General features: G+C 60.2%; 2 protein-coding genes and 1 long non-coding RNA gene across 16 annotated transcripts in view, besides 27 other annotated features; 2 read left to right on the top strand and 1 right to left on the bottom strand.

Moving 5' to 3' along the window:
• Positions 743–792: a silencer, noted in NCBI's record as "silent region_16696". NCBI's record gives its function as "represses an Ori minimal core promoter by ATAC-STARR-seq in GM12878 lymphoblastoid cells {active_cell/tissue: GM12878}" and the evidence as "EXISTENCE:reporter gene assay evidence [ECO:0000049][PMID:35858748]".
• Positions 803–1,182: a silencer, noted in NCBI's record as "silent region_16695". NCBI's record gives its function as "represses an Ori minimal core promoter by ATAC-STARR-seq in GM12878 lymphoblastoid cells {active_cell/tissue: GM12878}" and the evidence as "EXISTENCE:reporter gene assay evidence [ECO:0000049][PMID:35858748]".
• Positions 803–2,122: a biological region, named in NCBI's record as "hESC enhancers GRCh37_chr5:176899493-176899996 and GRCh37_chr5:176899997-176900498".
• On the top strand, positions 980–18,004 carry DBN1 (drebrin 1). Of its 9 annotated transcripts, NM_001393630.1 has the most exons (16): positions 1,774–1,838; positions 2,217–2,495; positions 5,715–5,770; positions 6,394–6,506; positions 6,797–6,871; positions 6,987–7,133; positions 7,282–7,359; positions 7,552–7,703; positions 7,779–7,842; positions 13,911–13,970; positions 14,059–14,182; positions 14,874–15,011; positions 15,346–15,516; positions 15,907–16,556; positions 16,857–16,959; positions 17,111–18,004. In NM_001393630.1, the coding sequence occupies exons 2-16, from the start codon at positions 2,404–2,406 to the stop codon at positions 17,179–17,181; spliced, it is 2,094 nt and encodes a 697-aa protein (NP_001380559.1). In that variant the 5' UTR covers positions 1,774–1,838; positions 2,217–2,403; the 3' UTR covers positions 17,182–18,004. The 9 variants fall into 9 exon arrangements, with proteins under 9 accessions (NP_001351080.2, NP_001350470.2, NP_004386.3 ...); NM_001364151.2 differs by lacking the exons at positions 1,774–1,838; positions 2,217–2,495 and adding an exon at positions 980–1,178 and having other exon boundaries at positions 6,397–6,506; NM_001363541.2 differs by lacking the exons at positions 1,774–1,838; positions 2,217–2,495 and adding an exon at positions 980–1,178.
• Positions 1,117–1,618: an enhancer, noted in NCBI's record as "H3K27ac hESC enhancer chr5:176899997-176900498 (GRCh37/hg19 assembly coordinates)". NCBI's record gives its function as "activates a minimal SCP1, AML or CMV promoter by ChIP-STARR-seq in primed H9 embryonic stem cells {active_cell/tissue: H9 hESC(primed)}" and the evidence as "EXISTENCE:reporter gene assay evidence [ECO:0000049][PMID:30033119]".
• Positions 1,263–1,462: a silencer, noted in NCBI's record as "silent region_16694". NCBI's record gives its function as "represses an Ori minimal core promoter by ATAC-STARR-seq in GM12878 lymphoblastoid cells {active_cell/tissue: GM12878}" and the evidence as "EXISTENCE:reporter gene assay evidence [ECO:0000049][PMID:35858748]".
• Positions 1,493–1,862: a silencer, noted in NCBI's record as "silent region_16693". NCBI's record gives its function as "represses an Ori minimal core promoter by ATAC-STARR-seq in GM12878 lymphoblastoid cells {active_cell/tissue: GM12878}" and the evidence as "EXISTENCE:reporter gene assay evidence [ECO:0000049][PMID:35858748]".
• Positions 1,619–2,122: an enhancer, noted in NCBI's record as "H3K27ac-H3K4me1 hESC enhancer chr5:176899493-176899996 (GRCh37/hg19 assembly coordinates)". NCBI's record gives its function as "activates a minimal SCP1, AML or CMV promoter by ChIP-STARR-seq in naive and primed H9 embryonic stem cells {active_cell/tissue: H9 hESC(naive and primed)}" and the evidence as "EXISTENCE:reporter gene assay evidence [ECO:0000049][PMID:30033119]".
• Positions 1,782–1,968: a silencer, noted in NCBI's record as "fragment chr5:176899647-176899833 (GRCh37/hg19 assembly coordinates)". NCBI's record gives its function as "represses an EF-1alpha promoter that drives an FKBP-Casp9 reporter gene in an ReSE screen in phorbol 12-myristate 13-acetate-treated (for megakaryocytic differentiation) K562 erythroleukemia cells {active_cell/tissue: K562(+PMA)}" and the evidence as "EXISTENCE:reporter gene assay evidence [ECO:0000049][PMID:32094911]".
• Positions 3,693–4,238: an enhancer, noted in NCBI's record as "H3K27ac-H3K4me1 hESC enhancer chr5:176897377-176897922 (GRCh37/hg19 assembly coordinates)". NCBI's record gives its function as "activates a minimal SCP1, AML or CMV promoter by ChIP-STARR-seq in naive H9 embryonic stem cells {active_cell/tissue: H9 hESC(naive)}" and the evidence as "EXISTENCE:reporter gene assay evidence [ECO:0000049][PMID:30033119]".
• Positions 5,331–5,876: an enhancer, noted in NCBI's record as "NANOG-H3K4me1 hESC enhancer chr5:176895739-176896284 (GRCh37/hg19 assembly coordinates)". NCBI's record gives its function as "activates a minimal SCP1, AML or CMV promoter by ChIP-STARR-seq in naive and primed H9 embryonic stem cells {active_cell/tissue: H9 hESC(naive and primed)}" and the evidence as "EXISTENCE:reporter gene assay evidence [ECO:0000049][PMID:30033119]".
• Positions 5,877–6,422: an enhancer, noted in NCBI's record as "NANOG-H3K4me1 hESC enhancer chr5:176895193-176895738 (GRCh37/hg19 assembly coordinates)". NCBI's record gives its function as "activates a minimal SCP1, AML or CMV promoter by ChIP-STARR-seq in naive H9 embryonic stem cells {active_cell/tissue: H9 hESC(naive)}" and the evidence as "EXISTENCE:reporter gene assay evidence [ECO:0000049][PMID:30033119]".
• Positions 6,969–7,514: an enhancer, noted in NCBI's record as "H3K27ac-H3K4me1 hESC enhancer chr5:176894101-176894646 (GRCh37/hg19 assembly coordinates)". NCBI's record gives its function as "activates a minimal SCP1, AML or CMV promoter by ChIP-STARR-seq in naive H9 embryonic stem cells {active_cell/tissue: H9 hESC(naive)}" and the evidence as "EXISTENCE:reporter gene assay evidence [ECO:0000049][PMID:30033119]".
• Positions 16,747–17,447: an enhancer, noted in NCBI's record as "H3K27ac-H3K4me1 hESC enhancer chr5:176884168-176884868 (GRCh37/hg19 assembly coordinates)". NCBI's record gives its function as "activates a minimal SCP1, AML or CMV promoter by ChIP-STARR-seq in naive H9 embryonic stem cells {active_cell/tissue: H9 hESC(naive)}" and the evidence as "EXISTENCE:reporter gene assay evidence [ECO:0000049][PMID:30033119]".
• Positions 18,000–18,199: a silencer, noted in NCBI's record as "silent region_16692". NCBI's record gives its function as "represses an Ori minimal core promoter by ATAC-STARR-seq in GM12878 lymphoblastoid cells {active_cell/tissue: GM12878}" and the evidence as "EXISTENCE:reporter gene assay evidence [ECO:0000049][PMID:35858748]".
• PRR7 (proline rich 7, synaptic) overlaps positions 18,328–27,472 on the bottom strand; it is a 10,292-nt gene continuing 1,147 nt past the window's right edge. For 2 of the 5 annotated variants that reach the window (NM_001375593.1, NM_001174101.2), the window contains exons 2-3: positions 19,120–19,785; positions 18,328–18,890 (exon numbers count right to left, since the gene is read on the bottom strand). In NM_001375593.1, coding sequence (NP_001362522.1) covers positions 18,493–18,890; positions 19,120–19,546 — 825 coding nt within the window. In that variant the 5' untranslated portion in view covers positions 19,547–19,785 and the 3' untranslated portion in view covers positions 18,328–18,492. Of the gene's footprint in view, positions 18,891–19,119; positions 19,786–20,573; positions 20,659–26,206; positions 26,290–26,893; positions 27,190–27,472 lie in introns of those variants that run through there. The other 3 variants (NM_030567.5, NM_001375594.1, NM_001174102.3) reach the window with 3 other exon arrangements.
• Positions 18,570–18,709: a silencer, noted in NCBI's record as "silent region_16691". NCBI's record gives its function as "represses an Ori minimal core promoter by ATAC-STARR-seq in GM12878 lymphoblastoid cells {active_cell/tissue: GM12878}" and the evidence as "EXISTENCE:reporter gene assay evidence [ECO:0000049][PMID:35858748]".
• Positions 18,800–19,349: a silencer, noted in NCBI's record as "silent region_16690". NCBI's record gives its function as "represses an Ori minimal core promoter by ATAC-STARR-seq in GM12878 lymphoblastoid cells {active_cell/tissue: GM12878}" and the evidence as "EXISTENCE:reporter gene assay evidence [ECO:0000049][PMID:35858748]".
• Positions 19,012–19,306: an enhancer, noted in NCBI's record as "tiled region #1974; HepG2 Activating DNase matched - State 1:Tss, and K562 Activating DNase unmatched - State 1:Tss". NCBI's record gives its function as "activates a minimal TATA promoter and a strong SV40 promoter by Sharpr-MPRA in HepG2 and K562 cells {active_cell/tissue: HepG2 | K562}" and the evidence as "EXISTENCE:reporter gene assay evidence [ECO:0000049][PMID:27701403]".
• Positions 19,540–20,149: a silencer, noted in NCBI's record as "silent region_16689". NCBI's record gives its function as "represses an Ori minimal core promoter by ATAC-STARR-seq in GM12878 lymphoblastoid cells {active_cell/tissue: GM12878}" and the evidence as "EXISTENCE:reporter gene assay evidence [ECO:0000049][PMID:35858748]".
• Positions 19,540–20,254: a biological region, named in NCBI's record as "H3K27ac-H3K4me1 hESC enhancer GRCh37_chr5:176881361-176882061".
• Positions 19,554–20,254: an enhancer, noted in NCBI's record as "H3K27ac-H3K4me1 hESC enhancer chr5:176881361-176882061 (GRCh37/hg19 assembly coordinates)". NCBI's record gives its function as "activates a minimal SCP1, AML or CMV promoter by ChIP-STARR-seq in naive H9 embryonic stem cells {active_cell/tissue: H9 hESC(naive)}" and the evidence as "EXISTENCE:reporter gene assay evidence [ECO:0000049][PMID:30033119]".
• Positions 19,859–20,090: a silencer, noted in NCBI's record as "fragment chr5:176881525-176881756 (GRCh37/hg19 assembly coordinates)". NCBI's record gives its function as "represses an EF-1alpha promoter that drives an FKBP-Casp9 reporter gene in an ReSE screen in K562 erythroleukemia cells {active_cell/tissue: K562}" and the evidence as "EXISTENCE:reporter gene assay evidence [ECO:0000049][PMID:32094911]".
• Positions 20,660–20,749: a silencer, noted in NCBI's record as "silent region_16688". NCBI's record gives its function as "represses an Ori minimal core promoter by ATAC-STARR-seq in GM12878 lymphoblastoid cells {active_cell/tissue: GM12878}" and the evidence as "EXISTENCE:reporter gene assay evidence [ECO:0000049][PMID:35858748]".
• Positions 24,476–24,976: an enhancer, noted in NCBI's record as "H3K4me1 hESC enhancer chr5:176876639-176877139 (GRCh37/hg19 assembly coordinates)". NCBI's record gives its function as "activates a minimal SCP1, AML or CMV promoter by ChIP-STARR-seq in naive H9 embryonic stem cells {active_cell/tissue: H9 hESC(naive)}" and the evidence as "EXISTENCE:reporter gene assay evidence [ECO:0000049][PMID:30033119]".
• Positions 24,977–25,477: an enhancer, noted in NCBI's record as "H3K4me1 hESC enhancer chr5:176876138-176876638 (GRCh37/hg19 assembly coordinates)". NCBI's record gives its function as "activates a minimal SCP1, AML or CMV promoter by ChIP-STARR-seq in naive H9 embryonic stem cells {active_cell/tissue: H9 hESC(naive)}" and the evidence as "EXISTENCE:reporter gene assay evidence [ECO:0000049][PMID:30033119]".
• Positions 26,515–27,143: an enhancer, noted in NCBI's record as "H3K27ac-H3K4me1 hESC enhancer chr5:176874472-176875100 (GRCh37/hg19 assembly coordinates)". NCBI's record gives its function as "activates a minimal SCP1, AML or CMV promoter by ChIP-STARR-seq in primed H9 embryonic stem cells {active_cell/tissue: H9 hESC(primed)}" and the evidence as "EXISTENCE:reporter gene assay evidence [ECO:0000049][PMID:30033119]".
• Positions 26,515–27,472: part of a biological region, named in NCBI's record as "H3K27ac-H3K4me1 hESC enhancer GRCh37_chr5:176874472-176875100", that runs on past the window's edge.
• The window catches only part of PRR7-AS1 (PRR7 antisense RNA 1), a 10,056-nt gene continuing 9,253 nt past the window's right edge, over positions 26,670–27,472 (top strand). For both annotated transcript variants that reach the window (NR_038916.1, NR_038915.1), the window contains exon 1: positions 26,670–26,970. This is a non-coding gene — a long non-coding RNA (PRR7 antisense RNA 1). The remainder of the gene's footprint in view (positions 26,971–27,472) is intronic.
• Positions 27,086–27,472: part of a silencer, noted in NCBI's record as "silent region_16687", that runs on past the window's edge. NCBI's record gives its function as "represses an Ori minimal core promoter by ATAC-STARR-seq in GM12878 lymphoblastoid cells {active_cell/tissue: GM12878}" and the evidence as "EXISTENCE:reporter gene assay evidence [ECO:0000049][PMID:35858748]".

The raw sequence follows: 27,472 nt of genomic DNA, 5'->3' as shown, positions 1-27,472 counted from the left end.
GAAGGCCCTGGCATGGTGTCCACTCCCTTGCAGGGGGTACTTTTCTGAGGCCCCCTCCCGTTCTGTGCTTAGAGCTTTAGGAGATAAAGGTGCCAAGAGGCTGGCCCTGAGCGTCCTTGGAGGAGCCCTGCCGTGGGAGTCTGGGGTTAGATGCTGCTTCCGGAACTCTACTTGGGACTCCTCTGGGAGGCGTGAGGCTTGAGAGAGAATGCAAAGGATCTCCTAGCTGGCCCCATCTGAGAGGGCACAGGCGTGGAGGGGAGGAGAGGCCTGGAATGGAGGGATAATGAGCTGGGTAGGGGCTGAGAATGGCCTGGAATAAGTGGTCATGGAGCCGAGATGGGGGGCTGTGGTTGGGAATTGGGAACTGGGATCAGGATGAGACTGGGATGGGTTGGACTGAAGATGTGCCGTGACACATGTTGGGGGGGACACGTGCTAAGCATGGGGCTGAAGCTGGGATGGGAAAGCAACTGGGGTGGATTTGAGGGTGGGATGCAGATGACAGTGGATATGATGGGATAGACTAGGCAAGGACCTCTCAGGGAAAGGAGACGGGCCAGGGGTGGGGTGTTGTGTGAGCTGGGTTGGGATGAAAATGGGTTTAACATGAGGTGGGACGCACCAGGAATGGAGATCAATGAAGCAATGGGTGGGGCGGAACCGGATTGGGACGGGGGGTGGGCGGGGGGAGGTGGGGACGGGACTGGGTTCGGGGCTGGAAGGAGGGCTAGCGCCGAGGTTACGGACGGGGCAGGTGAGGGTTCGGGACGTGGGTGGGGCTGGCCCTGGAGCGGCGCGCAGGGGCGGTGGGTGAGGGGCGCCCGGGGCAGGCCGGGAAGGGGGGGCGGGCCTCCCCCTGGGCCGGGCCGGGGCGGCGCTAGGACCGAGCGAGCGGAGGGAGCGAGCCGGGCGGAGCCAGCGCCCCCCGCCCCCCGCCGGCCGGCTCCCCTCCCCCGGCCGCTGGCTCGCTCGGCTCGCGACGCTGCAGAGGCTCCGAGGCGGCGGCGGCGACTCCCTCTTTCCCTCCCTCCTCCTCCGTCCGCCCGTCCGTCCGCGCGTCTGTCCGTTCGGCCCGGTCCGGCCCGAAGCATGGCCGGCGTCAGCTTCAGCGGCCACCGCCTGGAGCTGCTGGCGGCTTACGAGGAGGTGATCCGAGAGGAGAGCGCGGCCGACTGGTGAGCCCCCCGCCCCCGCCCCCGGCCCCTTTGTCCCCGCGCCGCCGCCGCGCCTTTGTTTCTCTCCCGCCCCGCCGCCCCGCCGCCGGGAAGGGAGGGGGACCCCGAAATGGTGCAGCGGGCCGGGAGGGCCGGGAGGGGCTGCCTTTGTGCGCGCCGGGGGAGGGGCCGGCGGGCCAGGCGGGGCACTGCCGGGCCCCGAGCGCCCGGAGGCGGCCCAAGGCGCGCGGTGGGAGCGGCGGCCGGACGCGGCCCGGAGGCGCGGGGTCCCGATGTGGGGCCCGGGGCCGCGTGGCCCTGCGGGAGCCCATCCCCCACCCTACCCCCCGGGCCCGGGGGACAGGTGTGCACGGGGCGGCCAAGGGCACCTTCGCCACCTTCGAGCGGGCGAGGTCCGGGCGGGGACGGGGCGGGGACCGAGCTAGCGGAGCCAGCGCAGCCTGCCCGGCTCAGCCCGGCCCGGCCACAGCACAAAGGAAAGCGAGGGCGGGGGAGGAGCGGAGCGGGCTGGGGGCCGGGCGCCCCGCCCACCGGGGGGCCTCTCGGAGTGGGCCGCCCTCCCCCCGAAACCTGGGCTGGAGTGAGGTGGAAGGATGTTTGCTGCCACATGGCGACCGCGAAGTGACTCCCTTACCGCCGCGGGTCGCGGAGGAGGCAGGGGTGAGCTCTCCTCCCCTACCTGAAGGGGACTGCGGGGACTAGGCAGCTGGGCTGGGGGGCACCGAGCTGCCTAAGGGGCCAGCTGAGATCCCTGGGAGGAAGCCCTCTGGAGAACAAGTGTGGAGGGAGCCCCCAAAGACGGCTGAAGGGGTGAACAGATCCACCGGCCCCCAGCAAGGGGCACTCGGTCCCTGATGGGGGAGGAGCTGGGCCGCCCCTCACCCCGCCCCCCAGCTGTTGTCTCCCGCTGAGCTGGGGGAGGGGATGGACCACCTGCTCTGGGGCTGGCGGCCCAGGGTGGTGGAAAAAGGAAACCGAGGGGTTCCTCACAGCCCCATCCTGGAATCCTTTAACCCCCCCGTAATACTCTTCTTCTAGGGAAGGTGCCCATCTGGTTCCTAGGCCTCCTCTCCCTGCTGGCAGATGGGAACAGGTTCTTCTTGAGGAAACTGAGGCAAAGAGGAGGGCAGGTCTGAGGGACCCCGCTTGGGCTGGCCTCACCCGCACACTGGGAGGGCAGCCAGGTGGGGACTCTGACCTGGGGGCTTCTGGAGGAGAGGATGAGATGGCTGGGCATCCATGGCATGGTACTGCAGCACTGGCCAGCAGCCAGGCCTGGAGGGATGGACGCGAGAGACAAGCTCTCGTGTCCTGCAGGTCAGTCACAGGAGAGGCCGGCACAGGCTCAGCAGGCAGGCGGCCCACCCATTGTCCCAGCCCTGCCCCAGGGGGGCTGAGATCATGGGAGGAGCTCTGGGCAAGTGGCCGGCTTGGCCTGGTGAAGGAGCTGGCTTTGGGATAAGGCCCCGCCTGGGGAGAAGCACAGCTCACCCCAGAACACCTCCTTTGCCCTCCAGCCTGGAGGGGTGTTGTCTACCAACACCCCATTTTCTCCTAAAAGCAGAGCTCTGGTGGCCTATTGCCAAGGCCACACAACCCCTGTTGCCCCACATCCTGCTCAACACAGGCCTGCCCCCACCCACCCCAGCAGCATCCGTGTGGCCAAAGCGAGTTATTCATCACTGGTGTGCGTCAGCCCCCATCTGGGTTGTGTGTGGGACACACACAGATGCACACATGTACCCTCGCACATGCACACATTCGTTCACTAAGGGCCCAGATAACATTTTGAAAAAGGGGTGTGAGGATCACTTTCTACACAAGAGAATATGAATACCCCAGGGCCCAGCATGGAACCAGGGGTGCAGTGAGGTCTGAAGACTCAGAGGCAGACCCTGCACATAGGTCCAGAGGGAGGGGTGTCTTGGGTAAATTGCTGTCTGCCCCCCGACCCTTACCTTGCCTCCAATGGGGAGGGGTGGTTGGGGGAGTTCACTCCTAGGTGGCAGGGCCTCTGAAGTGCACCACTACTCTGGCACAGGGAGCAGGGGACCCAGGAAATGAGGTTGTGTGGTGGGAAGGGCCACTGTTGTCCTGGTTGTGATATGACTCACTGTGATCATACACAAGTTCCTGGTCCTCTTGGAAAGAAAAGGGATTGGGCCCAGCACTACCTCGGATACTGAAGGCCTTTCTAGCACCACCATCCTGAGAGTGATGGTCCTGCGGGGTCCACCTGCCCTCAGCCCCCGACTCCAGCTCACCCTCCACCCCAGCTCACCCCCCATCCCAGCTCACCCCAGGGTCTCTGGAACTGCCACATTCCAGCTCCCACCTCACGCTAGTTCAGTTTATCTGGCTAGATGGCTTTTGAGTTGGTGTCAATATCACACATACTTCTGGTATGCGGTGTGCTGGACCCCAGGACCCAGAGAGCAGGATGTGCTGATTGACTGAGTCAGCGTTCCTGCCTTCACCAGGCTTACAGCTGGGGGCAGTGTCTGTCTCCAGGAGTTGGAGCTGGTGAGATGTGTAGATGCCTGGTCGCCTACCCCATCCTGATTCCCTGTGGTTTCGCCAGCTTCCACCTGGTGCACCACCAGGCTCGGGGTGCCTCTGATGTGGTTGAGAAGCACTGGTCTTTGTATTCCTGCTGGGATATGGTGGGTGCTCTGGGAGGGGCAGCTCAGGAGAGGCTGCTGGGGGCCAGCACTGGGCTCTGAAGAACGGAAGCATTCCACTGGGAATAGGCGTGGGGTAGAGGAGCAGGTCTTGCCTTCCACGTGAAGAGAACTACATAGGCAGAGGCTTCAGGGTGAGCCCTGTCCAGAACCCTGCTTGGGTCAGGGAGCCGTCCAGTGTGTCCCAAGTGTGTGGTGTGGACAGGGTGGTCCAATGGAAAGGCAGGCTGGAGGGTTTGAACTGGGGTATGGTTTCTGCTGGGGGAGAGCTGCGGCTGGAGCAGGAAGAGGTGGCCGGAGGTGGGGAGCCAGGGGCTGAGGATGGAAGGCACCCCGGGGAGCCTAGGCAGGCCAAGACAGGTCCTCTCAGAGGGAGGCTTGATGTCTACAGCAGTCTCTAGGAACTAGGGTCCCTGGGCTCTGCATTAGTTTCTCATCAGTGCATGGAGAGAGACAGAGCCTGCTTCTCCCAGGGCCCTTTGTTCCCGTGGTGGGTTAGGGCAGCAGGACAGGTGGTGGGCCAGCTGTGCTGGAAGCATCTGTCAGGGCCAGGCTGGGGCTGGGGGTAACAGTTGGACCAGGAGCTCCCAGCCCCACAGCCCACCTGTGTTCCTTCCTGGAGGTAGGAAGCCGGGAATCCAGGAAGGGGAGGGGCTGAGGCCATTTGGCCCTGGCCACAACCTCCTGAGACGTCCCCTCCATCCCTCCCGCCTTCATTTCCTTTGTCCCTTCACTTCTGTCCTTTCTCTTCTTCCTCCTCTCCTGGTTTCTCCCTCTGCTTCTCCCCTCCTCTTTCTCTTCTCCCTTGCCCTCCCTTTCTGCCTCCCCTCCTCACAGCCCCAGCCTCCTGCCTTGGCACCTGGGGAATAGGAGTTTGGAGAAGGGGTTGAGAGCCCTTTCAAACTTCAGGGACAAGGCCCTTCCTCCTAGGCCCCGGCTCTCCTCCCTCCCAGAGGGTCCTCAGCCTGGGCCTGCATGGGGTGATGGAGGAGGCATCTCTGCCTTCCCTTCTGTGCAATGGTTGCTCTGTCACCGCAGCCTATCAAAAGGAGCCAGGGCACACAAAGCTAGGGAGGAGGAGGAAGGAGGAAGGCCACCAGGTCAGCTTTCTGTTAGAGCTCAGACAGAAGGAAAGGCCAGCAGTCTCAGGAAGCCTCAGCCAGGACTGAGGCAGCCTAGGGGCTGGAAGGCCTGGAGCTCAGGCTTGGCCACCCCGGGGCCAGAGTCTGGGCGAGAGTGACTGCAGTGACCTCATCCCCATTTCAGAGAGGCGGAGATTGAGGCTGAGGGCGGGTCCCCAGGGTCCTTTGTGTTCAAGGAGAATGCAGTTGGGGTGGGCCAGTCGTGTGCCAATTGCAGGGTTGCCATGGTTACTGGGGGATGCCCAGAGCTGTTGGGAGCACCAGGTTCTCTCTTCTCCTCCTCCCTCCCCGGGGGAGGGGCAGCGGGGACCAAGGCACGTGCCAGGTAAGTTCCTGGCACTAGCCAATGGGGGATGAGGATCCTGGTAGCCAGGGAACGGTAACCAAGGAACCGTCGCCTTGGAATCTCCATCACACACCCGCTCCACTGGGTTGTAGGCTGCCAGGGCCAGGGCCGGGATGCTGCGCACTGAGCTCGACCAGCCAGCAATTTCTCCCCTCACTGCCTGCGCCCCCCTGACCCAGGCCTCCAGCAGTACCCTGCTGGGCTCCCGCCTGAACCGATGCCTGGCCCTGTTGTCATGGCTACAGCAGGAGCCCTCCCCGTTCCTGTCCTACCCACTCCATGTCCCTCTCCCTCCCCAGAGCCGTCCCCACCCAGAATTGGCGGCCTGGGCCCTGACAGTTTGACAGCCACCCCTCCCTCTCCCCAGGGCTCTGTACACATATGAAGATGGCTCCGATGACCTCAAGCTTGCAGCATCAGGAGGTAGGAATTCCAGCCATTCCCTCGCCGCCTTCTCCACCCCCTCCTCCTGGTTGTTTTCTTCCCCACCCACCTGGCTGTAGGCCACCTCCCTGCCTGCACCCTGCAGCCCCACACTTGTCTGGATCTGGCGGGTGTCCTTCCTCCAGTCATCCCTGTGTCCCCAGGGTGGGGAGGAATCTCAGAGCCTTGTTGAATGTTGGACTTCTGAGGCTGAGCCTCCAACAGGGAAAGTGACTTATCTGAAGCCACACAGCTGGGACACTTTGGGGGAAGGGCCCTATTCACCGCCTTCCCCAGAGCCAGAAGGCTTGATTGTGCCTCTGGGCACTGGCACCTGGTGAGACATGATGATGTGTGAAGAATGAGACCTGAGTGTGAAGAACAAACACTTCCTCAGTCCTACCCCCAAATCAGGCCCTGCAGGAGTCACAGGCAAAGCTACATCCCTGTGCGCCACCACCCCCACACATACCAACACAAAACTGGGACCCACAGACCCCAGAGGCCAGAAGACCCCTGGGGGTGCCTGTGGAGGCCTGGAGGAGTCTTTGCTTTGAGTTCCAGGCTCTTTTTGGGAAGGGTTTAGGAGGCAGAGAGACCTGACACTCTCCTGATTACCCTAGAAGGGGGCTTGCAGGAGCTTTCGGGACACTTTGAGAACCAGAAGGTGATGTACGGCTTCTGCAGTGTCAAGGACTCCCAAGCTGCTCTGCCAAAATACGTGCTCATCAACTGGGTATGCGGCCGGGGCTGGGGAAGGGGGCTGAGGGCCCAGAGCTGCTCATCAACTGGGTATGCGGCCGGGGCTGGGGAAGGGGGCTGAGGGCCCAGAGCTGCTCATCAACTGGGTATGCGGCCGGGGCTGGGGAAGGGAACTGAAGGCCCAGAGCAGTCGCCCTCCCCGTCGGCCCTCTGACACCCGTGGAGAGGGAAGCCCACCCTCTTCCCACCCCGGGGAAGATGCACCCTATCGTGTAGGGCCCCCCTTGTCCTTTCCTGACCCCCTCTTTGCTGGGTACTTTGCAGGTGGGCGAAGATGTGCCTGATGCCCGCAAGTGCGCTTGTGCCAGCCACGTGGCTAAGGTGGCGGAGTTCTTCCAGGTGCGTGTCAGGGGCCAGCGCTCTTGGGGGTGGGGACAGCCACCAGGGTCTGCGTGCTGGGGTGGGGATGGCGGGAGGATGGTGCCGCCTGAGCACTGCCGTCTTCTTGCGGAAGGGTGTCGACGTGATCGTGAACGCCAGCAGCGTGGAAGACATAGACGCGGGTGCCATCGGGCAGCGGCTCTCTAACGGGCTGGCGCGACTCTCCAGCCCTGTGCTGCACCGACTGCGGCTGCGAGAGGATGAGAACGCAGAGCCCGTGGTTAGTGTGTGTTTGGCACCCGTGGGCTCTGCCTGCGTGGCCTGGTGCCCGAGTCTGGCCTGCCCGGTCCCTCTTAGCTCTCACCCTTTAGGTGTCGGGGGTTCCTGGGGCATTCAGCCTGCTTATGCTGGGTCCTTCGACACTGCAGGGCACCACCTACCAGAAGACGGATGCAGCTGTGGAAATGAAGCGGATTAACCGAGAGCAGTTCTGGGAGCAGGCCAAGGTATGGAACCCTGAGCCCGGCCTGGCTGAGCCACCCCTCATGGACCCCATGGGGCAGGTCTGAGTCCCTCACTGCAGTGGCATGGCCCATGCCACGTGCCCCGCCCCCAGCGCTGGGTTAGGGAGGGGCTGGAGGGGCAGGGTCCAGGCGCCTAGGCTCGGGGCCTACCCTTGTTCGCACCGGGGCTTGCAGAAGGAAGAAGAGCTGCGGAAGGAGGAGGAGCGGAAGAAGGCCCTGGATGAGAGGCTCAGGTTCGAGCAGGAGCGGATGGAGCAGGAGCGGCAGGAGCAAGAGGAGCGCGAGCGGCGCTACCGGGAGCGGGAGCAGCAGATCGAGGAGCACAGGTGAGCCTGCCCGCCCGGAGCGCTCCAGGGGCCCCCGGGCGCACCCTGACGGGTGCTGGCTGCTTATCGTTCCAGGAGGAAACAGCAGACTTTAGAAGCGGAAGAGGCCAAGAGGCGGTTGAAGGAGCAGTCTATCTTTGTAAGTTCTTTGCCAAGGCTCCCGGTCTCTGGGTCAGGGAAGTGAGAATGGTCCCTGTGTTCCTGGGCCTTGTGGGGAGATCAGTGGCTCAGGGACAGTGGTGGCTGTTCTGGGGAGCTGCATGGGCACAGGGTGCCATGGAGCATGAGGCCTGGCACCTCATCACGTGGGGCTCTGGCCTCTGGCCGTGGAAAAAGACTACTTTGGAGAAGCTTGTGCTCTAGATTGGAAGAGAAACTCCATCTAGACCCAGACCCTCACTGACCAGGCTCCCCCTCCCCTGCCCTGGGGTTTCTCGGCGATTAGACACTGTTCTGCACTCTGAGGGGCCACAGGAGTGAGGCAGGCGGCATGGGTGAGCCTGGGCCAGTGCTGAGCATCTGCAGGCAGTGTGTACCATCTCCTTGGGAGCAGCATCTCCCTGGGAGCAGCCCCTTTGTTCCAGGGGTACTGTCTGAATCTCCACACATTGGGAATGGCCCGTAGGTCCTGTGGATTGGTCCCTGAGAATCACAGCAGAGTCACATCTCCATGCTTTGAATTTAGTATTTTGGAAATAGCTAATGTCATTCAGGACTGAGCATGGCTCAGTTCAGGAAGGGAGGTGGGTTGATACTCATCTGGATTGGGACTGTAATGGGCAGATGCATGGCTGTGGGGACTCAAACGGGCTCCGGAGTCACCCACAGGAGGCTGAGAGAGAGGAGGCAAGACAGTCCTGCAGGCAGCAGCATTAAGTCACTCCAGTCACATCTGCCCTTGGATGGGGTGGGGATGATGTGTGGCTGGTAAGCTCCATCCTCAGTCATTCATTCAACACACACCTGCCACCTGCCACATAAAGAACATGGTGGAGAACGAGCTGGGTAAGATCTTTTTTTCATAAGTTGATTCATGTATTTTTTTTTTTTTTTTTTGAGATGGAGTCTCACTCTGTCGCCCAGGGTAGAATGCAATGGCGTGATCTTGGCTCACTGCAACCTCCATCTCCCAGGTTCAAGCGATTCTCCCGCCTCAGCCTCCTGAGTAGCTGGGATTACAGGCGCACACCATCATGCCTAGCTAATTTTTGTGTTTTTGTAGAGACTGGGTTTCACCATGTTGGCCAGGATGGTCTTGAACTCCTGACCTCGGTTGATCTGCCCGCCTCGGCCTCCCAAAGTGCTGGGATTATAGACGTGAGCCACCGCGCCTGGCCACATGTATGTAACTGTGGCAAAATACATAAAATGTACCATTTCAGTCATTTTAAAATCTGCATTTCATTAAGCGGCATTAAATTCATTCACATTGTAGGATAACCACCACCACCATCCATTAAACACAAATTCTGCCCTTCCCCACTCGCCAGCTCCTGGCAACGACCATTCCACTTTCTGTCTCTATGAAGTTGACTACTCTGGAGACTGCCTATCAGTGGAATCGCACGGTGTTTGTCCTTTTGCGTGTGGCTTATTTCACTTAGCATGATGTCCTTAAGATTCATCCATGTTGTAGCATGCATCAGAATTTCCTTCTTTTTGAAGGCTGAATCATATTCCATTGTATGGATATACCACATTTTATTTATCCTTTCAGAGTGAGGTTTTTTAAAATTTTTTTATTTTTTAAATTTTTTTGAGACGGAATCTCGCTCTGTCGCCCAGGCCGGAGTGCAGTGGCGCCATCTCAGCTCACTGCCAGCTCCGCCTCCCAGGTTCACACCATTCTCCTGCCTCAGCCTCCAAGTAGCTGGGACTACAGGTGCCCGCCACCACGTCCGGCTAATTTTTTGTATTTTTAGTAGAGACGGGGTTTCACCATGTTAGCCAGGGTGGTCTCGATCTCCTGACCTCATGATCTGCCCACCTCAGCCACCCAAAGTGCTGGGATTACAGGCGTGAGCCACTGCACCCGGCCTGCCTCCCAGGTTTAAGTGATTTTCCTGCCTCAGCCTCCCAAGTAGCTGGGATTACAGGCGCCCACCACCACGCCTGGCTAATTTTTGTATTTTTAGTAGAGATGGGGTTTCACCATGTTGGCCAAGCTGATCTTGAACTCCTGACCTCAGGTGATCCACCCGCCGGCCTCACAAAGTGCCGGGATTACAGGCATGAGCCACCGCACCCAGCAGATAAAGTTTATTATTTATTTATTTATTTATTTATTTATTTATTTATTTATTTATTGTCTTTTTAGTAGAGATGGGGTTTCACCATGTTGGCCAGGATGGTCTCGATCTCTTAACCTCATGATCTGCCCTCCTCGGCCTCCCAAAGTGCTGGAATTACAGGTGTGAGCCACCTCACCCAGCCAAGTTTATTTATTTATTTATTTTTATTTTTTTGAGACAGAGTCTTGCTCTGTCGCCCAGGCTGGAGTGCAATGGCACAATCTCAGCTCACTGCAACCTCTGCCTCCTGGGTTCAAGCGATTCTCTTGCCTCAGCCTCCTGAGTAGCTGGGATTACAGGCGTGCACCACCATGCCCAGCTAATTTTTGTATTTTTAGTAGAGACAGGGTTTCACCGTGTTGGTCAGGCTGGTCTCGAACTCCTGACCTCGTGATCCACCTGTCTCGGCCTCCCAAAGTCCTGGAATTACAGGCGTGAGCCACCGCACCCTGCCTGATAAAGTTTATTTATTTATTTATTTATTTTTATTTATTTATCTTTTTTAAGATGAAGTCTCACTCTTGTCCCCCAGGCTAGAGTGCAATGGCGCCATCTCAGCTCACTGCAACCTCTGCCTCCTGGGTTCAAGCGATTCTCCTGCCTCAGCCTCCCAAGTAGCTGGGATTACAGGTGCACGGCTCCATGCCCGGCTAATGTTTGTATTTTTAGTAGAGACAGGGTTTCACCATGTTGGCCAGGCTGGTCTCAAACTCCTGACCTCAGGTGATCCTCCCACCTCGGCCTCCCAAAGTGCACTGCACCCAGCCCTGATAAAGTTTATTTTTTTGCTAACATTTCAAACATACACACATGCAGGTAGACAGAATAGTGTTGTGAACCCCCTGAGCTGATTTATTTTCACCAGTTATCAACATTTCAGGTAAAGTCTGAAGGAGCTTACCATTATTTTATAGTCCCATCTGGCCCTTCAAGTATAGTTCACGTGAGAGTGACAGTGGACATTCTAGCAGGTCAGTGTGGTACCCTTTCAATTTCAGGTCCTCTAAGGAAGGGAATATGCGAGAGACTTTGGGATTTAGCACTGTGAAATGCTTTCTCTTGGCTTAAGGAGCTGTTGCTTTCTCTCCCCTGTTACGAATTGTGTTCCATATCTGAGTTCCCTTTTTGCCTGGCCTGCAGGGGAGCTCCCGTGTATCTGAAAATGCTTTAGGCACAGCAGTGGCTTTGACCCATGTGGTTAGTGCGTTGATCTCTCTCCTCCCTCTGGGCCTTACTTGTTTCAGTGTTCACATGGTTGGTAGTTTATTAAAGCCTTTGTGGAGGGCTGGGCTCAGTGGCTCATGCCTGTAATCCCAGCACTTTGGGAGGCCAAGGCAGGCGGATCATGAGGTCAGGAGATCGAGACCATCCTGGCTAACATGGTGAAACCCCGTCTCTACTAAAAAATACAAGAAATTAGCCGAGCGTGGTGGCGGGCGCCTGTAGTCCCAGCTACTCGGGAGGCTGAGGCAGGAGAATGGCGTGAACCCGGGAGGCGGAGCTTGCAGTGAGCCGAGATCTCGCCACTGCACTCCAGCCTGAGTGAAAGACTCTGTCTCAGATTAAAAAAAAAAAAGCCTTTGTGGTAGTTGCCTCTGGTCCTTTCTTTGAACAAGGCAGAGGAACCAACTGAGATTACAGCAGGCAGTGGGCAGAGCAGCAAAGGCTGGTGGGACACAGGCTCATGGGAAGGTGAAGAGCCTAGGCTGACTGGAACCCCGTGGGCTGAGGAGTGGGGGAGATTTGATTGGGAAAGGAGAGCAAGGGCAGAGGAGGAGTTTAGACTTCATTCTGGGGGTCACAAAGTTATCACTGAGGTGATAGCCCTCCTGAGGTGGGATACTACGAAGGGCCCTTCTCCCAGTGCTCCTGACATAAGCTAAAATTTTAGATTATAGGCTCAAAAACAGAGCAGCCCTGGGACTTCACCACCTTAGCAGCCCCTCCTGCCCAAGCTGCCACCTGAGCAGCAGGGGACACCGACTAAGAAGCCTTTGGTGTGTGAGTGCAGTTGAGCAAACATGCGCCCGCCTTGTGCTGGCCACCCACCCGGAGACCCCGGTCCTCATCCTGCGTTGCTCACAGCGGAGGGGGGAGGTGCCTCCGGAAACAGGAACTTAGGATGTGGTGTCATCGTGGTGGAAGCCAGGAGCACCCTGTGGGGACCCAGAGGAGGAAATGACCTGAACAAGCCTCTTGTTCAGAGGTCCTTCCCCAGGAAGCAGTGGCCACGCTGCAGCTGGAAACCAGAGGGCCTGGCCCCCGGGTGGGGAGCAGGCATTTGGGAGGGAGGCCAGTCTCCCATGCTGAGGCTTGGAGGTGGGAACGGGTGTGCCTGTTCTGGGAACTGACTGCGTCGTGCTGAGGACTTGATGTCTACATCTCACAGTATGTGGGAGCCTTGGGGTGGGGGCCGGCAGGGGGTGGTGTTGGAGAGGTGACGGCTAGGTCAGGCAGGGGTGGGGGACGTAGGCCAAGTGCGGGCGCTGCCCACCCAAAACAACGTGTGCAGTGGGCAGGTGAAGCCAGTAGGCGATGGTGGGGCCGGGGGTGAGCGGGTGGCACACGCCTGTCTTAAGGGGGCTGCGGCGAGGCCCCGGTGATGGCTGCTCCGGGCTTGCAGGTGATGTCGCCAGGGCTCTGTCACCTCAAGAGAAACTGGGACCCTCATCTCAGTATGAAAGTTCCTGGTTTTTAAGTGGTGGTAACTAATGAACATGGTTTAAAAATATCATACCAGCAAAACAAAAGCCATCTGTGGGTCATATTTAGCCAGTGCTTGCTGTGGCTCATGGGAACCCCTGAGGGATTTTAAGCTCAGGAAAATCATGGTCTGATCCGCATTTTGGAAAGGTCCTTTCAGGGCCTATGGAGAGCAAATAAGGCAGGTAGCAGTGAGGAAGGCTGGACCATGATGCCACGGTCCAGGCAGCAACATTGGGAGCATGGTGGCCCCGGCACTAGGGTAGGAGGTCCAAGAAGTTATCTGCAAAACAAGGAGCACTTCTGGAGGGCCCTAGGCACCTGCTTAGATATGGGGATGAGCAAGTGAGTGAGTGAGCCTGGTGCCCAGAGGCCTGGCAGGTCAGAGATGAGGTGGCTGAGGGCCCTGAGGGAAGAGAGGGGCTGTGTGACAGGGTTTGACGGGGCAGAGGTACCACCTCTGAAACCCTTCCTGCCAGATTGCGAAAGAAGCATGGGGGCTGTAAGAAGGCCAGAAGGGGCCGGGCGCGGTGGCTCACGCCTGTAATCCCAGCACTTTGGGAGGCCGAGGCGGGCGGATCACGAGGTCAGGAGATCGAGACCATCCCGGCTAAAACGGTGAAACCCTGTCTCTACTAAAAATACAAAAAATTAGCCGGGCGTAGTGGCGGGCGCCTGTAGTCCCAGCTACTTGGGAGGCTGAGGCAGGAGAATGGCGTGAACCCGGGAGGCGGAGCTTGCAGTGAGCCGAGATCCCGCCACTGCACTCCAGCCTGGGCGACAGAGCGAGACTCCGTCTCAAAAAAAAAAAAAAAAAAAAAAGAAGGCCAGAAGGCCGGGCACTGGTGGCTCATGACTGTAATCCATCCCAACACTTTGGGAGGCCAAGGCAGGAGGATCCCTTCAGCCCAGAAGTTTGAGACCAGCCTGGGCAACATAGGGAGACCCCATCTCTACCAAAAAATTAAAATTAGCCGGGCATGGTGGTGCACACCTGTAGTCCCAGCTACTCGGGAGGCTGAGGTGGGAGGATTGCTTGAGCCCAGGAGGCAGAGGCTGCAGTGAGCCGTGATTGTACCACTGCTCCCCAGCCTGGGTGGTAGGGCGAGAACCTGTCTTAAAAACAAAATCAATAAATAAAATACAGTAAAAAAGAAGGCCAAAAGCCCCTGTGGGGGGTAGGTGCACCAGACACTGTCCCTTTGGTTTCTAGGGTGACCATCGGGATGAGGAGGAAGAGACCCACATGAAGAAGTCAGAGTCGGAGGTGGAGGTGAGAGCTGGGGGCACCAGCCAGGTGAGGCAGACAGGGCTATCTCAGCTTGCCTGGCCCAGCCCCAACCTTTTCCTCGTGCCCTCAGGAGGCAGCAGCTATTATTGCCCAGCGGCCTGACAACCCAAGGGAGTTCTTCAAGCAGCAGGAAAGAGTCGCATCGGCCTCTGCGGGCAGCTGTGATGTACCCTCGCCCTTCAACCATCGACCAGGTAGTCCTAGGCCCCACCCCCCGTCCGGCCCCACTCCTCAGGTTGCGGCCCTGAGCCTCTCTGGGACTCTCTCAGAAGGGAGGCCTTGCCCAAGCAACCCTTGGAGAAGGCGAGACCCTTCATCCAGCGTGCATCCGCCCACCACTTCCCAGGTGGCAGGACCCCAAGAAGGGCCAGGGATGGTGGTGAAGTCGCTTGTGGCTGAACAGTGGGGAGTGCTAGGGCCTGTGGGGCAGCTCTGGCATGGGCTGAGGCACAGCGCTGGCCACGGGGAGCAGCTCGGCTGGGGTGAATTAGGTCTGGCCTGGAAGGCCGGAATGCATGCGTGCTGGGCTCTTGCCCCGGGCCTGAGGGAGCCTCCCGGAGCTTGCACCCAGGTGTCCCCGTTCCGCTTCTCAGTGTGCTGCTTCCGCCTCTCCTGAAGCTCTTCCCTGCCCTGTCTGCTGGTCTGAGTGTGCTTGCCCCATGCTGGGGTCCCGCCACAGGCCGTCCCTGCTGTACTGCTCCCAGGCTGGCTGTGTGTCTGGGGCTGGTGTGAGGCTGCGGCTGGCTTGGCTGATTGTGCCCCTGGCTGAAGGCAGCTTGGACATCCAGGGCCAGGCCCTGGGGGCGGGAGAGGCCTCGGGCAGGGGTGGGGGAGACTGACCCTCTCTTGTCCTCTGTCTCTTTCTCTGTCTGTCTCTCTCGGCAGGTCGTCCGTACTGCCCTTTCATAAAGGCATCGGACAGTGGGCCTTCCTCCTCCTCCTCTTCCTCCTCCTCCCCTCCACGGACTCCCTTTCCCTATATCACCTGCCACCGCACCCCAAACCTCTCTTCCTCCCTCCCATGTAGGTAGCAGCCCCAGGCCTCGGCGGGGGTGGTAAGGAGGGCCCCGCTTCCCAGCAGCCCCCCGCCCTCACTCCCCCAGTCTGACCGCTGATCTCTGGTGTTTGCCCCCAGGGCAGGCACTGCCTGCCTCTTGCCCCTGGCCTTATGGGGCACTGGCCTCCAGGGGCCTAGCTTACAGGGTCTGGAGCTGTAGTCTGGCCCCTGGTGGGGCTGGAGAGCTCCCAGCCCCCACCCAGATTCCAGAGAGGAGGTGCTGGCCAGGCCCCAAGGTGGACAATCCTGTCTCACCCGGCTCCCCCGCCCTCACTGACCCACCTGGGGTTTGTTCCACAGGCAGCCACCTGGACAGCCACCGGAGGATGGCGCCCACTCCCATCCCCACGCGGAGCCCGTCTGACTCCAGCACCGCCTCCACCCCTGTCGCTGAGCAGATAGAGCGGGCCCTGGATGAGGTCACCTCCTCGCAGCCTCCACCACTGCCACCGCCACCCCCACCAGCCCAAGGTGAGAGAGGGATGCTACCTGCACCAGGCCTCCCATCATCAGTCCCTGGCTGGGAGCCCCAGGTTGCCATGGTAACCGTTCTCCAGGGATCTGGGCCACCCATCACCAAGACTGCACTGCCCTGGAGGCGGCTGTGTGGGGAGGAGCCCTGGTGTACAGTCAGACCTGCCCTCTCTAAAGCTTAGCACCCGCCCTCTCAAGTGGGAATCGGGCCTTGGCCTTCCTCCCGGAGCTGCCAAGGGGCTTAAAGTCACTGGGGTCACTGGGTAAGGGGGCAGTGGGACACCTGCATGGAAGTCCCTGGCTCCCTCACTCCTTAGTGGGTGGGCAGGGTCTCCATCCTCCCCGAGGGGAGCCGGTTACATATCTCCTCTGCCTGTGCTGTGACAGAGACCCAGGAGCCCAGCCCCATCCTAGACAGTGAGGAGACCAGAGCAGCAGCCCCTCAGGCCTGGGCCGGCCCCATGGAGGAGCCCCCTCAGGCACAGGCGCCTCCCCGGGGGCCAGGCAGCCCTGCAGAGGACTTGATGTTCATGGAGTCTGCAGAGCAGGCTGTCCTGGCTGCTCCCGTGGAGCCTGCCACAGCTGACGCCACGGAGATCCACGATGCAGCTGACACCATTGAAACTGACACTGCCACTGCTGACACCACTGTTGCCAACAACGTACCCCCCGCCGCCACCAGCCTCATTGACCTATGGCCTGGCAACGGGGAAGGGGCCTCCACACTCCAGGGTGAGCCCAGGGCCCCCACGCCACCCTCGGGTACTGAGGTCACCCTGGCAGAGGTGCCCCTGCTGGATGAGGTGGCTCCGGAGCCACTGCTGCCAGCAGGCGAAGGCTGTGCCACCCTTCTCAACTTTGATGAGCTGCCTGAGCCGCCAGCCACCTTCTGTGACCCAGAGGAAGTGGAAGGGGAGTCCCTGGCTGCCCCCCAGACCCCAACTCTGCCCTCAGCCCTTGAGGAGCTGGAGCAAGAGCAGGAGCCGGAGCCCCACCTGCTAACCAATGGCGAGACCACCCAGAAGGAGGGGACCCAGGTGCGGCAGGGACTGCCTGGTGGGAGGGATGGGAGGGAGTGGGGGCTGAGCAGGGTGCTGGCCCTGCATTCCTCATGCTTGCACCAGTACCCCCTTCTCTGTGACCCACATTATTTGAGGGGAAGTCCATCCCACCCTCCCTCCCTGGGCCGGCTCTGCTTTTGTTCCCAAGGCAGGCATCCTTGTTTCCCTGGCAACCACTGATGGAATCATTGGTTGCTGGGGAAACGGGCTCAGGCCTGATAGGTCAGCCCCAGTCCTGCTGGGTGGGGCCAAGTGACCTGATGCTTTCCCCTGCAGGCCAGTGAGGGGTACTTCAGTCAATCACAGGAGGAGGAGTTTGCCCAATCGGAAGAGCTCTGTGCCAAGGCTCCGCCTCCTGTGTTCTACAACAAGCCTCCAGGTAGTACTGGGCTGGATGATGGGGAGGAATTTGGGTGCGGGGGCTGGATTTGAGTGTGGGTAGCCACCCCACCACTACCCACCGCTCACAGAGGCTGGGGACACAAGCGGTCTGCTAGGTCCCTAACTCCTCTCCCTTTCTAACGCCACAGAGATCGACATCACATGCTGGGATGCAGACCCAGTTCCAGAAGAGGAGGAGGGCTTCGAGGGTGGTGATTAGCGGTGGCGCCAGCCCTAGGCTACCCTTGCCAAGGCCGCCCACCTGCATCAGCCTCTGGCCAGACGGCCCGCCGTGCCTGCATTCGCAGCAGCTCCGCCTGGCACCCACTCCGGATTCCGGCCCTGGCTGGGGACTTGGCCGCTTCCCTACCCACAGGGCCTGACTTTTACAGCTTTTCTCTTTTTTTAAAAAGTTGATAGGAGACTTGTACAGTTGACTGGCTTTCCTCTCGTTGGTAGTTGAGACGCTGTTGCAAATTCCACCCCTCCTTCCCTGGTCCAGATTGTAGCTCTTAGTCCTCCCTGCTCAGCTGGCCGGGTTGGAGGCCTCACCCTGCTTGGGGCCTGGCGTGGGGGGAGCTCTGGTGGGAAAATGTCCCCCACCTCTTTTCCTAGTTTTATGTTTCTTGGGAAAATATCACTTTGTATTCTCTGTCCAGGGCTTCAGATATTTTGCACGAATTTTAAAACATGGCAATAAATGGCTCGTGGGCTCTGGCTCCCTGGGACCCCCTCCCCGCCCTTCTTTTGACCCCTTCCTGTCTGGCCCAAAGGAAGTAGCAGGCCCAGCTGGGGCCCCTCGGCTACCCCCCGTCTCCTGCCGGGCAGGTCCCAGGTTGGAGGCCCTAGGCGCGGTTCAGGTCAGGGCTATGGATGGGGCCCAGGGGCTTTGGTGGCCCCTCCCCAACTCCTTCCTCTTTGCTTGGGTTCCTTTTTCACGTTTAGTAACTGTTTTTTTTTTTTTTTTTTTTTTTTTTTTGGAAAGCACAAACTTCTGTAACGGGTCGTGCTCATGTCTGTTAATAAAGAAATCCAGATCCCTTCGGGCTGCCGCCTGCCCTGACCCAGGTTCCCAACTCCTCCCACCTCCGAGGCCGCAGCACCTCCTTGCCACCAGGGGGCGTCCTCACCCTAATTCCAAGGCCCGCCAGGCGGGGGCGGGGTGGGGGGGCGGTGCTAGGGGCTAAGGCTCCCAGGGGAAGCCGCTTGGCACCTACAACCACCGGAGAAGGGTTGGTCTTAGACTTAGTGCTGTACCCTTAGGTTCTGTTGTGGCGGAAACGCACGTTGAGGGTCCTTCCCGCCAAGGCCCCGGCTTGTCTGGTCACACAGAACCCTGGGCGAAAGCAGCCGGTGCACCCTCCGCTTGTACCAAACCAGATCACACACCTTTATTATCCTCAAAATGTAACAAACGGGATAAGAAATCCCTCCCTCCCCCCGCCCCTCCCCGCAGTCCAGGGAAGCATTTAAAAAGCCCCGCAGTCAGGCCAGGAGTCCGCCGGTGGGGCCCGGGGCGCCGGGCGCCCCTCTATACGGCTGTAGTCCTCCCGAACAAGGGGATGGAGACCGGCAGACGCCAAGCTCCGTGCTCCAGGGGCTCGCGGCTGCTGAGCTCTGAGTCGGTCCAGCTGGGGAAGACCCGGCGGCCACGGTCGGCCTGCAGGCAGAGGGCTGGGCAGGGCGGCGCGGGCCGAGGGGCGCTGGGCAGGTGCAGCGCCGAGGTGTAGCCCCGGTCCAGGAAGAGCGGCTTGTAGCTGGGAGGCGGCTGCTCCTGCTTCTCCGCGCTGTCGCGGCGACTCAGGAAGGGCGTGACGATCTTGCGGTAGAGGCCGCGCGTGTCCGTGAGCACCTCGCTATAGGGCGGCGGCGGCTCTGCCATCAGCACCGCCTCTTCGTAACACGGTGGTTTGGACATGTCCGATTCCGCTGCGGAGTGGGAGGCGGTCGGAGGAGGTGAGGCCGCCGGTTCCCAGCCTCTCGCAGAGGCCCCGGCCAGGGGCCGCCCGCGCCCCAGCCCTAGCCCGAACCCGAGCCCGCCGCCGCCCGTGTTCTCCCGGAGGCTGCGGATGGAAGCCCTGAGGGTAAGCAGCGAGCCCTCCAACGCCCGCCCACTTCCGGCGGCCCGGATCGCCCCCTGGCGGAGGTCGGTACTCACCTTGGCGCGGGTAGCTCCAGGGCCGTGGCGGCACCGACAGGTGCGTAGGCGGCGGGTGCGGGAGCGCGTGGTGGTGCGGGTGTGGGTGCGCGTGCGCGTGCGGCTGCGCGGGCCCGTGGTGCAGCAGCGGGTGCACGTGCACGTGCGGATGCGAGTGCGCGTGAGCCGGCGCCTCCAGGCGGCTACGGTGTGGTGGTGGCTGCGGCGGCGCCAGGCCCGGGGGGCTCCCGGCCAGACTGCCCTCGAGTTCGAGGGGCTCCAGCTCTAGGGCGCGCAGGTTCTGCTCGCGCAGTCGCTCCTCCTGGCGCCGTTTGAGGCGGCGGCGCAGGAAGCTGCAGAAGCAGCAGAGCAGGACGATGAGACCCCAGATGAGCCAGAAGCCGGCGAAGCACGTGAGGAACGTGTAGGTGCCCTGGGACATCACCATGGCGGCGGCACGGGCGGCGGGTCCTCAGACGCTTCACTGGACACTGGGCTCCGCTGCGTGGCCCCGGGCCCGCGCCACACTCTCAGGTGCCGCCAGCGTCACTCGGGGACCCGCGGCCGGGGGCTGCCCGTGGCAGGTCTCAAGTCGTGCGCGCGCCGGCGGGGGACAGCAGCGGCGCCCGCTCCTTCCCATGGCGCCGGCGGGCGCGCGGGCGTGCCTCACCCGGGGCCGCGCGGGACCTGTAGGGCAGACACGGGGCGCAGTGAAGGCGCGCCGCGGCCCCCAACGACTTCCCGGCCCCCGCCCGCGCCCTGCGCAGTCCGGGGAAAGCCTCCTCCGTGGGAACCTCGCGCTCCCCGGGGGCCCGGTGACGTCACCGAGGAGGGTGACGTCACGCCTCGAGGTTTCCCCGGTAGGGTTTCCCCGATCTGAGCCCCGGCCGCCGCCGCGGAGCCCGGGCGCCGAGGGGAGCCGAGGCGGGCCAGCAGGGGGCGCGCGAAGGACGGACTCCAGCTCTGAGTCCGAACGAGAGATTCGCCATCCGCAGTCCCGGGGCCAAAGGGTTTCAGGAGCCTGTGCGCACCAGGTCCCTGAAGAGGCGTCTCGGCGCCGTTGCTGTGCGGCGGGGAAAGGGTGGTACATCTCCTAGAGCCCCACAGACAGCCACCCGACGCCCTGTACAGACGCCTGGCAGCCCCTGGCTGCCCAAAGCCCGGAACAACTGGCTCCGCACCGCGCCCTCCGGGTCTCCCGCCGCTCCCGTAGGGGGGCTCAGGCGGGTGGCTCCGACTGGTAATGCGTGCCACCGGCCCTGCCTTTGTCTGAGCCTAGCGCGCCGCGCCGGGCGTGGGCCACACTCTCTTCCTTTCCTCCAGGCGCCCTGCCTGCTCCAACTCCGCTTCCCCGCCTCCTGCCCTTGCACAGCCCCACTTGGCTCTGCCTCTGTCTTCAGGCCGCCGTCTCCCTTTCCCTCTCGCGGAGGGGAGGAAAACTAGATGAGGGTTGGAAGCTAGTCTTTCGTACCCACCTGGTCCTGCACTCACTCCAGATGGGCATCTCTAGTTCCGCTTCCTCCTCTCCACAGCTGCGGGTGAGAGGGGGAACCTTGCACCCTAAGAGGGAGGTAGGAGGGAGCCCTGACTCTGAGAGTGAAGGGTGGCAGGTGACTGCTCACCGCCCCCACAGAACAGAACTGAGCCTTTCCTGAATGCCTTATACACACAGGTTTGAACGAAAGCCTTTGGGGTAACTGGAATGATTCCTATTTTACAGACGAGGAGTTGGGGGAACAACTGGCTGTGTAGATGGCAGGTGGTAGCACCATAATTTGAACCCAGGCCTGGCCACAAAACTCTAGCCTGAGTGGGGTGGGGGGTAGCGCTGCCTGGGCTACTTTGTGGGCCTCTTCCAGGAGCCCCACGGACCCTACCCTCCGCGTGCCCGAGGCACACACACACTGCTTCGAGAGCCACAGGGAGCCTGAGCCCCAGGCTGGGGGGAAGCCAGGCCATGGCCACCCCACACTTCTCCCCAGATGGCTCCTGTCTGACTCCATGGCTGCCTTCAGCCACGTGCCACTTGGTGCCCTTGCCAGTCCCCTTCTCCTGGGCCTGCGTTCCAGAACAGACAATGGCAGGAACCATAGCTCTGCCCGCCCCCTCGACAACCCTGCCATGAGGCTGCCATGGTGACGCAGCCCAGATAAAAACACGATGCTGCCAGTCACTGGGAGTTAATTACATCTGTTATTCTTTTCCTGAGCCATCAGGAATGCTCTGAGGAAACTGGCACTAACTAGAGGTCCCCCGGTCTGCCAGGCAGGAACAGCTCTGGGTCAGAAAAGGTAACTCTGGGGCTGGAGGTGATGGGGTTTAGCTGAATTAGAAATATCTTTCAAGGACCACGCAGAATCCTCTCTTCAACACCACCTTGTCTGTGGTGGTTGTGCCCATTTGATAGACAGGGAGATAGGCTCAGAGAGGGGAATGACTTGCCCCAGGTCACACAGCTCAGAAGGGGAGGAGCTAGGATTTAGCCTGAGTCTGAATCCAAACTCTGTGCCAGATGTAAGTGGCAGCCATGGGGGCACTGGGCAGACAAGCCAGCTAGCAGCCAAAATGCATTCCCATCCCTTCCCACCAGGGCCCTGGCATGCCTGATCACCAGCCCGACTCTGCTGTGGAATAGCAGTGTGAGAAAGAGCTACAGGATGAAGGGGAGATGTAATGGCAGCGCCAGGTTAGCAAGAGACAAAAGAGAGGGCCCTCTGTGCCCTGAGGGCGCCCAGCTCAGCAGGTGGGGCATTAGGCCATACAGGGCAGGCCACGCCCAGGACCTGCTGGGTGCCGTCATAGCTGCATTTTATAAACTAGGCAACTTTGGGCCAAAGAGAGGAAGGCTCTTGCTTAAGGTCACATAACTAGCCCCCTGGCCCCAACCTGGCTCCACCCCCAGGTGGAGTGGGTAGGGATTTGACACTGAACGCTGTCTTCTCGGCAGTGCCACAGCAGGCCCACGGGACTGGAATCCTGTCTGAAGCCTCCCTCCCAGGTGCTCAGTAGACTCTCATCTAACCGACCATAGGTGCTCAATACATAAACATCAGAGGTTCATTCAGACCTTTCAAAATGCTCTACCTGACCAGGCCAGACTTGGCAAAGCCTCCCGAAAAAACCATGCCCCCTTACTGCTCCTTTACTATGTGAGCTCTTGCCCTTGTCTGGGAGCCTTTCAGACTCAGAGCCTGCCTGCAGCCTGCTGCTCCCAGCCACTCCCTCCACTGCCCACACTGCTCCAGACTGGTAGTAGCCAATACGTGCCTCCTCCTACCTACCCAACACATTCAGGTGCTCGGAGCGATGCCCTGCAGATGGACCGAAGTCTGCCATTTGATTACTCACGTTCTGTTTCCTGTTTCTCTTTTCTTACTTTCTTGAAGGTTATTTGAACATGTTTTAGGGTTGCATCTTGATTTATCTGTAGTGCTTTTGAACCATATCGCTCTGCATGTTTTCTCGGGCCACACACTCACTGGGAGCACGGCAGGGGGATGAAAGCGAGACCCTTGGTGAGTTTCTTAACCTCCAAGTTGCCTCTGTTTCCTCATCGGTGAAGATGAAGCTAATCATGCAAAGGGTGTGGAGGTACCAACAGACATTAGCTCTGATGATGGTGGTTTCTGAGCTGAGGATGCAGACATGTGTGTGTCCCCAGGGTGCTCCCTGCCTGAGGGTGGGCTCCACACTCACTCTTCGAAGCAGGCTACAGGGTGCTCCCTGCCTGAGGGCTGGGCACCACAGTCACTCTCCGAAGCAGGCTACAGGGTGCTCCCTGCCTGAGGGCTGGGCACCACAGTCACTCTCCGAAGCAGGCTACAGGGTGCTCCCTGCCTGAGGGTGGGCTCCACACTCACTCTCCGAAGCAGGCTACAGGGTGCTCCCTGCCTGAGGGTGGGCTCCACACTCACTCTCCGAAGCAGGCTACAGGGTGCTCCCTGCCTGAGGGTGGGCTCCACACTCACTCTCCGAAGCAGGCTACAGGGTGCTCCCTGCCTGAGGGTGGGTTCCACACTCACTCTCCGAAGCAGGCTACAGGGTGCTCCCTGCCTGAGGGTGGGCTCCACACTCACTCTCCGAAGCAGGCTACAGGGTGCTCCCTGCCTGAGGGTGGGCTCCACACTCACTCTCCGAAGCAGGCTACAGGGTGCTCCCTGCCTGAGGGTGGGCTCCACACTCACTCTCCGAAGCAGGCTGGCATTCTTGTTAGTTGGCAGATGAGAACACTTGGCTCAAGGAGCTTAAATGACACCCAAGGGCACACAGAGCCAGGGCCTGGCTGCATTGCTGTGGGCACCTCCCACACTGCCCTGTGCACACTTCAGCCTTACAGGCCAAAGCACCAAAGATCTGCTACTGGGTCCTTTATCTCAGCAAAGAGCCTACCATTCCTTCCGTCCGCCGCATCCTCTGCAGGGTGGCATTTGTCCACTTCCTTTGGTCCTCCTGCCACTGCCTTGGCCAGGCCAGCATCGTCTCTCCCCTGGCCCCCATCACCATGCTTGCCACTGTGCTGTGCCCCTGCCCAGCCTAGTCACTCCTCACAACACTACGCTGCCTCAGGAGCCAATCTAGCATTTAACATGGCTTAGATCTGGGCCTCTCAAATTTAAGCAGGCAACAGAACCACGTGGAGGCTGTTAAAACAGTGCTGGGCTCCATTCCCAGTACTGGATTCAGTAGGTCTAGGATGGGGCCCGAGTTTGCATTTTAAACAAATTTCCAGCAGATGCTGGTACTGCAGGGCCAGGGAGCACACTTTGAGAACCACTGACCTAGGTGCTGGCCTCCCGAATGAGCTCCTGCCAAGGCCTCTGGGGCTCACCTGAGCCACCTCACCCCTCAGGGATGGGAAGCCCAATGATGCCAGGATGTTCCGGGGTGGCCAGGGCCGAGCACCATCGGCCTTACCAGCTGGCACCCAGTAATTGGCTCAAGAACCACCTATGGAAGGAGATGCTGGAGGGCTCGTTACCTGGTTGGTCTTTTAGCTGTGGGACCGGGGGAGTACCTCAAGGGCTGGCTCTGTGTCCAATTCATTCCTGGGAAATGTCAGCCATTCACCAAAACGTCACTCAGAGAAGAGCCATCACCCAGCCCCCGCCTGGCAGGGCAGTTCATAAGCAAGTGGAGACCCCATGTGTCTACGTGAATCAAAGGAAAAGGCTGTACGGAGGCACACACCAGGGCTCTGGGGGGTGGGGATGGAAAATCCCGGGCAGCAGGGGCACTGGGTCACACCTGGACTTGAGGCTAGAGCTGCTGGTCTTCAAGGGAAGGGACAGGAACTCAGAGCAGGGGGTGAGGGCTGGGGGGCAGGACAGACTGACAGCCTGTCCTGTGTGCCTTGCATACGCCAGGCCCACTACTGGTCTCTATGCTAGTTATCTAAGGAAAACTCAGGAGGTGGCTGCTGTTCTCTCTACAGACAAGGATGTAGGCTCAAGGAGTGGGTCCAGCTCAGGTCTCCATAGCCAGGTGGTGTGAAGCCCGGGTGATGACAAAGTCCTCGGTCCCGGCAGCAAGGGCATTTCAGGGAGCCACTGGTGACACCCTTACACCCTTCCCACATCAACACAGAGGAACTGAGGCCAGAGAGGACTTGACAGGACTTGTCTCCACTCCCAGTCAGCCAGGCTTGGAGCTGGCCAGAACCGCCCTCCGCCTAGGCCAGGGTACTGAGTGGCAAGCACCCTTGCTTGCAGGTAGATGACCTAACCCTGACACCAAGCCAGGAACCCAGGGCTTGGGAAACTACAAATAAGACCACAGAGACTGAGGCCTCGGTGGGCTTGTAGGTGGAGAGCCCTCCCTCAGGCCAGTGTCTACTGCGCTCAGCTCCGGCCCTCCTCAGGGCAGGGTTTTCAGAGACCAGGTTCCTCCTCTGAAACCTCAGCCTGTGGCTCTCTGTGCCTTCATCCCCGCAGCTGGCATGGAAATAATGATCTGACCTCCCAGGGGAGGCGGCCCCACGGGCGTGATGGTGACACCCTGTGGGGGGCAGCCTGGGTAACATGCAGAGTGCCGAGGGGTAGGCCTGAGCTCAAATCTGGCTTCTGCCCTCACCGAGCCATGTGATCCCATCCTGGCTACTCCCATACCTGAGCTGGAGTTTCTTCAGCAGTAGGACCAGGGTGCCGAGGGGACAACAGAACTCCCTCTGATGAGGGATCACCCTGCAGCCTCAAGAGGCTCAAATGCAGAAAGCAGCCCCTGGTGTCACAGTGTACACAGCCTGGAGGCGGCCCAGCAAAACCTGCGGTCCCTTTCCCACGGACCAGAGGTCTCAGACACAGGACCCTTAGGTTGGACACAGTTCTCAGACATGTTTTAAAAACAATCCATGTTCACAATCCATTTTTAAAAACATTCTGATTAATTGCCAACATTTAAAAATCCAGGAGATTTTATATAAAGGTCTGGATTTCTGGTTCATCTTGAAAATTGGACAGTCAGGTCATACCAAGTCCACATTTCACACAGTGACAAAGATTGGAGCTGAGCGGCTCCCTGGCCCGCCTCACTCATTCCATTTCCCCCCTGATCCTTGGAAGCATGTGGGTTTCCAATGCCTGGAGCTAGACTGAGCACCCACAGGCTGCAGCAGTGCATGGACCCATCTTTGCTAAATTTTCTCTCCCACAGCCAAGACTGCAAGCTGAGCAGGCCATGGAGCCCATGAGCCGAGGACCAGGGCTTGGGGTTTTCCCAGGGGACTGAGGCAGCCCTTTGCTGCTTGGTCTCACCGGAGAAAATGGAGGGAGGGAGGAAGTGAAGAAGGGAGGGAGAAAGCTGGCCCCATCCTATAATGCATCTGGGGGAGCAAGAATGTGGCTGATTTAGCTGGAAGAAGGAAAAATGTACCAAGACCCGAAAGACAGGGAATGTCCTCACTGGAGGAAAGTGAAGGAAGAAGGCTCTACAGTTCTTCTCCTGGGTTACAAGAGAAGTTAGCTAGCAGGCAGAGAGGAGCTTTGCCCCCAGAGAAGCCTGCAGTGTAGACTCAGCTCTGCCACTTACTGGTAGTGTGACCTTGGGCAAGTCACTCACCTCCCTGAGCCTCCCTTTAGAGTCTTCATCTCTAAAATGGGGATAATAAACTTACCTTGCGCAACTGTTGTAAAAAAAAATTAGGAGATAATGGATGCAGAGCACTCAACACAGGTCTCACAGAGCAGGAAGGGAATGAAAGGCACCCGTGAGTAATTCCCCAGGCGCCCCTGCCTGCAGGAGACTCAGGCCTGACCTCCAGGGCACCACCCATCTAAGGGCATCTTATGCCAAGGCCTCCAATGCCCCAGATGCCAGTCACCTCTAGGATGCCTCCCCGGATGGGAAAGGAAACCCAAGGACGGTTGTGGTCGCTGGGATCCTGGATCTGAAGCCCGCGGTCGGGGCTGGCATCTGCTGAGTCAGGCCTGGGAGAGCTGGCAGGAGGGCCATTTCTCTCTCCAGCATGATGCCCGCTGAGGGGAGGTTGGGAGGGGAGCCAGAGGTCATTTCCTCTGAGTCAGAGGCCATTCTCCTCCCAGAGGAGCTCCCCTGGCGGACCAGGCACCTCCATGTGGCGCGTGCCTCCCTGCCGGCCAACCTGCATGCTACTCAGTACAGTTGGGGCATTGTGCTCAGACAAGAAAGGGGCACTTGTGATCCAGACAATGGGCTGGGTCGCTCCCATTTGGCCTGGGCTTCAGCTTCCCTGGGTCAGCAATATCCTTTCCTCTGCTCCTGCCCACTCTGCTTCCACCCCTCCCTGGAGAATGGTGGCTAGGAACACGGAGCAGAGACTCACCGCGGGCCCATGCCCGGTTTGGCACGTGCCTCGGCCGTGAGGAGGAGGAGGGATGCAAGCTTCGCTCCTCTACCCTGGTAAGAAACGTCGCCCCTGGGGAACCCAGCTCGGCTCAGGCCATGTCCAGGGCCGGCGCGATTAGGTGGTGGCGGCGGTGGGTGGGTGGGTGGGGGGTCTATGGGCAAAGACCCCAGCGCCAGCCTCCATGCCTCCTCCTCCCGTGACAAGCCCAGGGGCTGGGCCGCCCCCACGTTTGCAGCCACCCCAGGAGCCCTGCTGCGACGACTGCAGCCACGTGGGAGCCAGCTCGTGCCCACGGCCGTTCGCCCCCACCCCCACCCTCGACGGGCTGTGGAGGCAGGCACACCCAGCCGGGCCAGAGGGGCGACATGCCCCCGCCGCGCACCCCTCTCCCCCTGCACCCCCGGGCTGTGGGCCCGCGTCGGGGGAGGGGGGAGGGAGGGGGAGGGGGCGTCGCCGCCCCGCAGTCGTGTTGCCGGGGAGCGCAACCCCGTTGCTGTGGCAACCGTTTCCAAGCGAACTGGTGGCGGCTCGCGCCCCGTTCCGGCTCCCTCGCTC

This window comes from Homo sapiens, chromosome 5 (genome assembly GCF_000001405.40).
Source record: "Homo sapiens chromosome 5, GRCh38.p14 Primary Assembly".
Classification (NCBI taxonomy): domain Eukaryota; kingdom Metazoa; phylum Chordata; class Mammalia; order Primates; family Hominidae; genus Homo; species Homo sapiens.
The sequence above is the reverse complement of the archived record's forward strand: the minus strand, read 5'-3'. Positions and strand labels throughout refer to the sequence as shown.

Bases quoted from the DNA above. Each gene is read 5' to 3' on its own strand.
- DBN1 (NM_001393630.1), top strand. From the start codon at position 2,404: ATGGCTGGGCATCCATGGCATGGTACTGCAGCACTGGCCAGCAGCCAG. The intron at 2,496-5,714 runs GTCAGTCACAGG...CCCTCTCCCCAG, and splicing joins CAAGCTCTCGTGTCCTGCAG to GGCTCTGTACACATATGAAG. The intron at 5,771-6,393 runs GTAGGAATTCCA...TGATTACCCTAG, and splicing joins CAAGCTTGCAGCATCAGGAG to AAGGGGGCTTGCAGGAGCTT.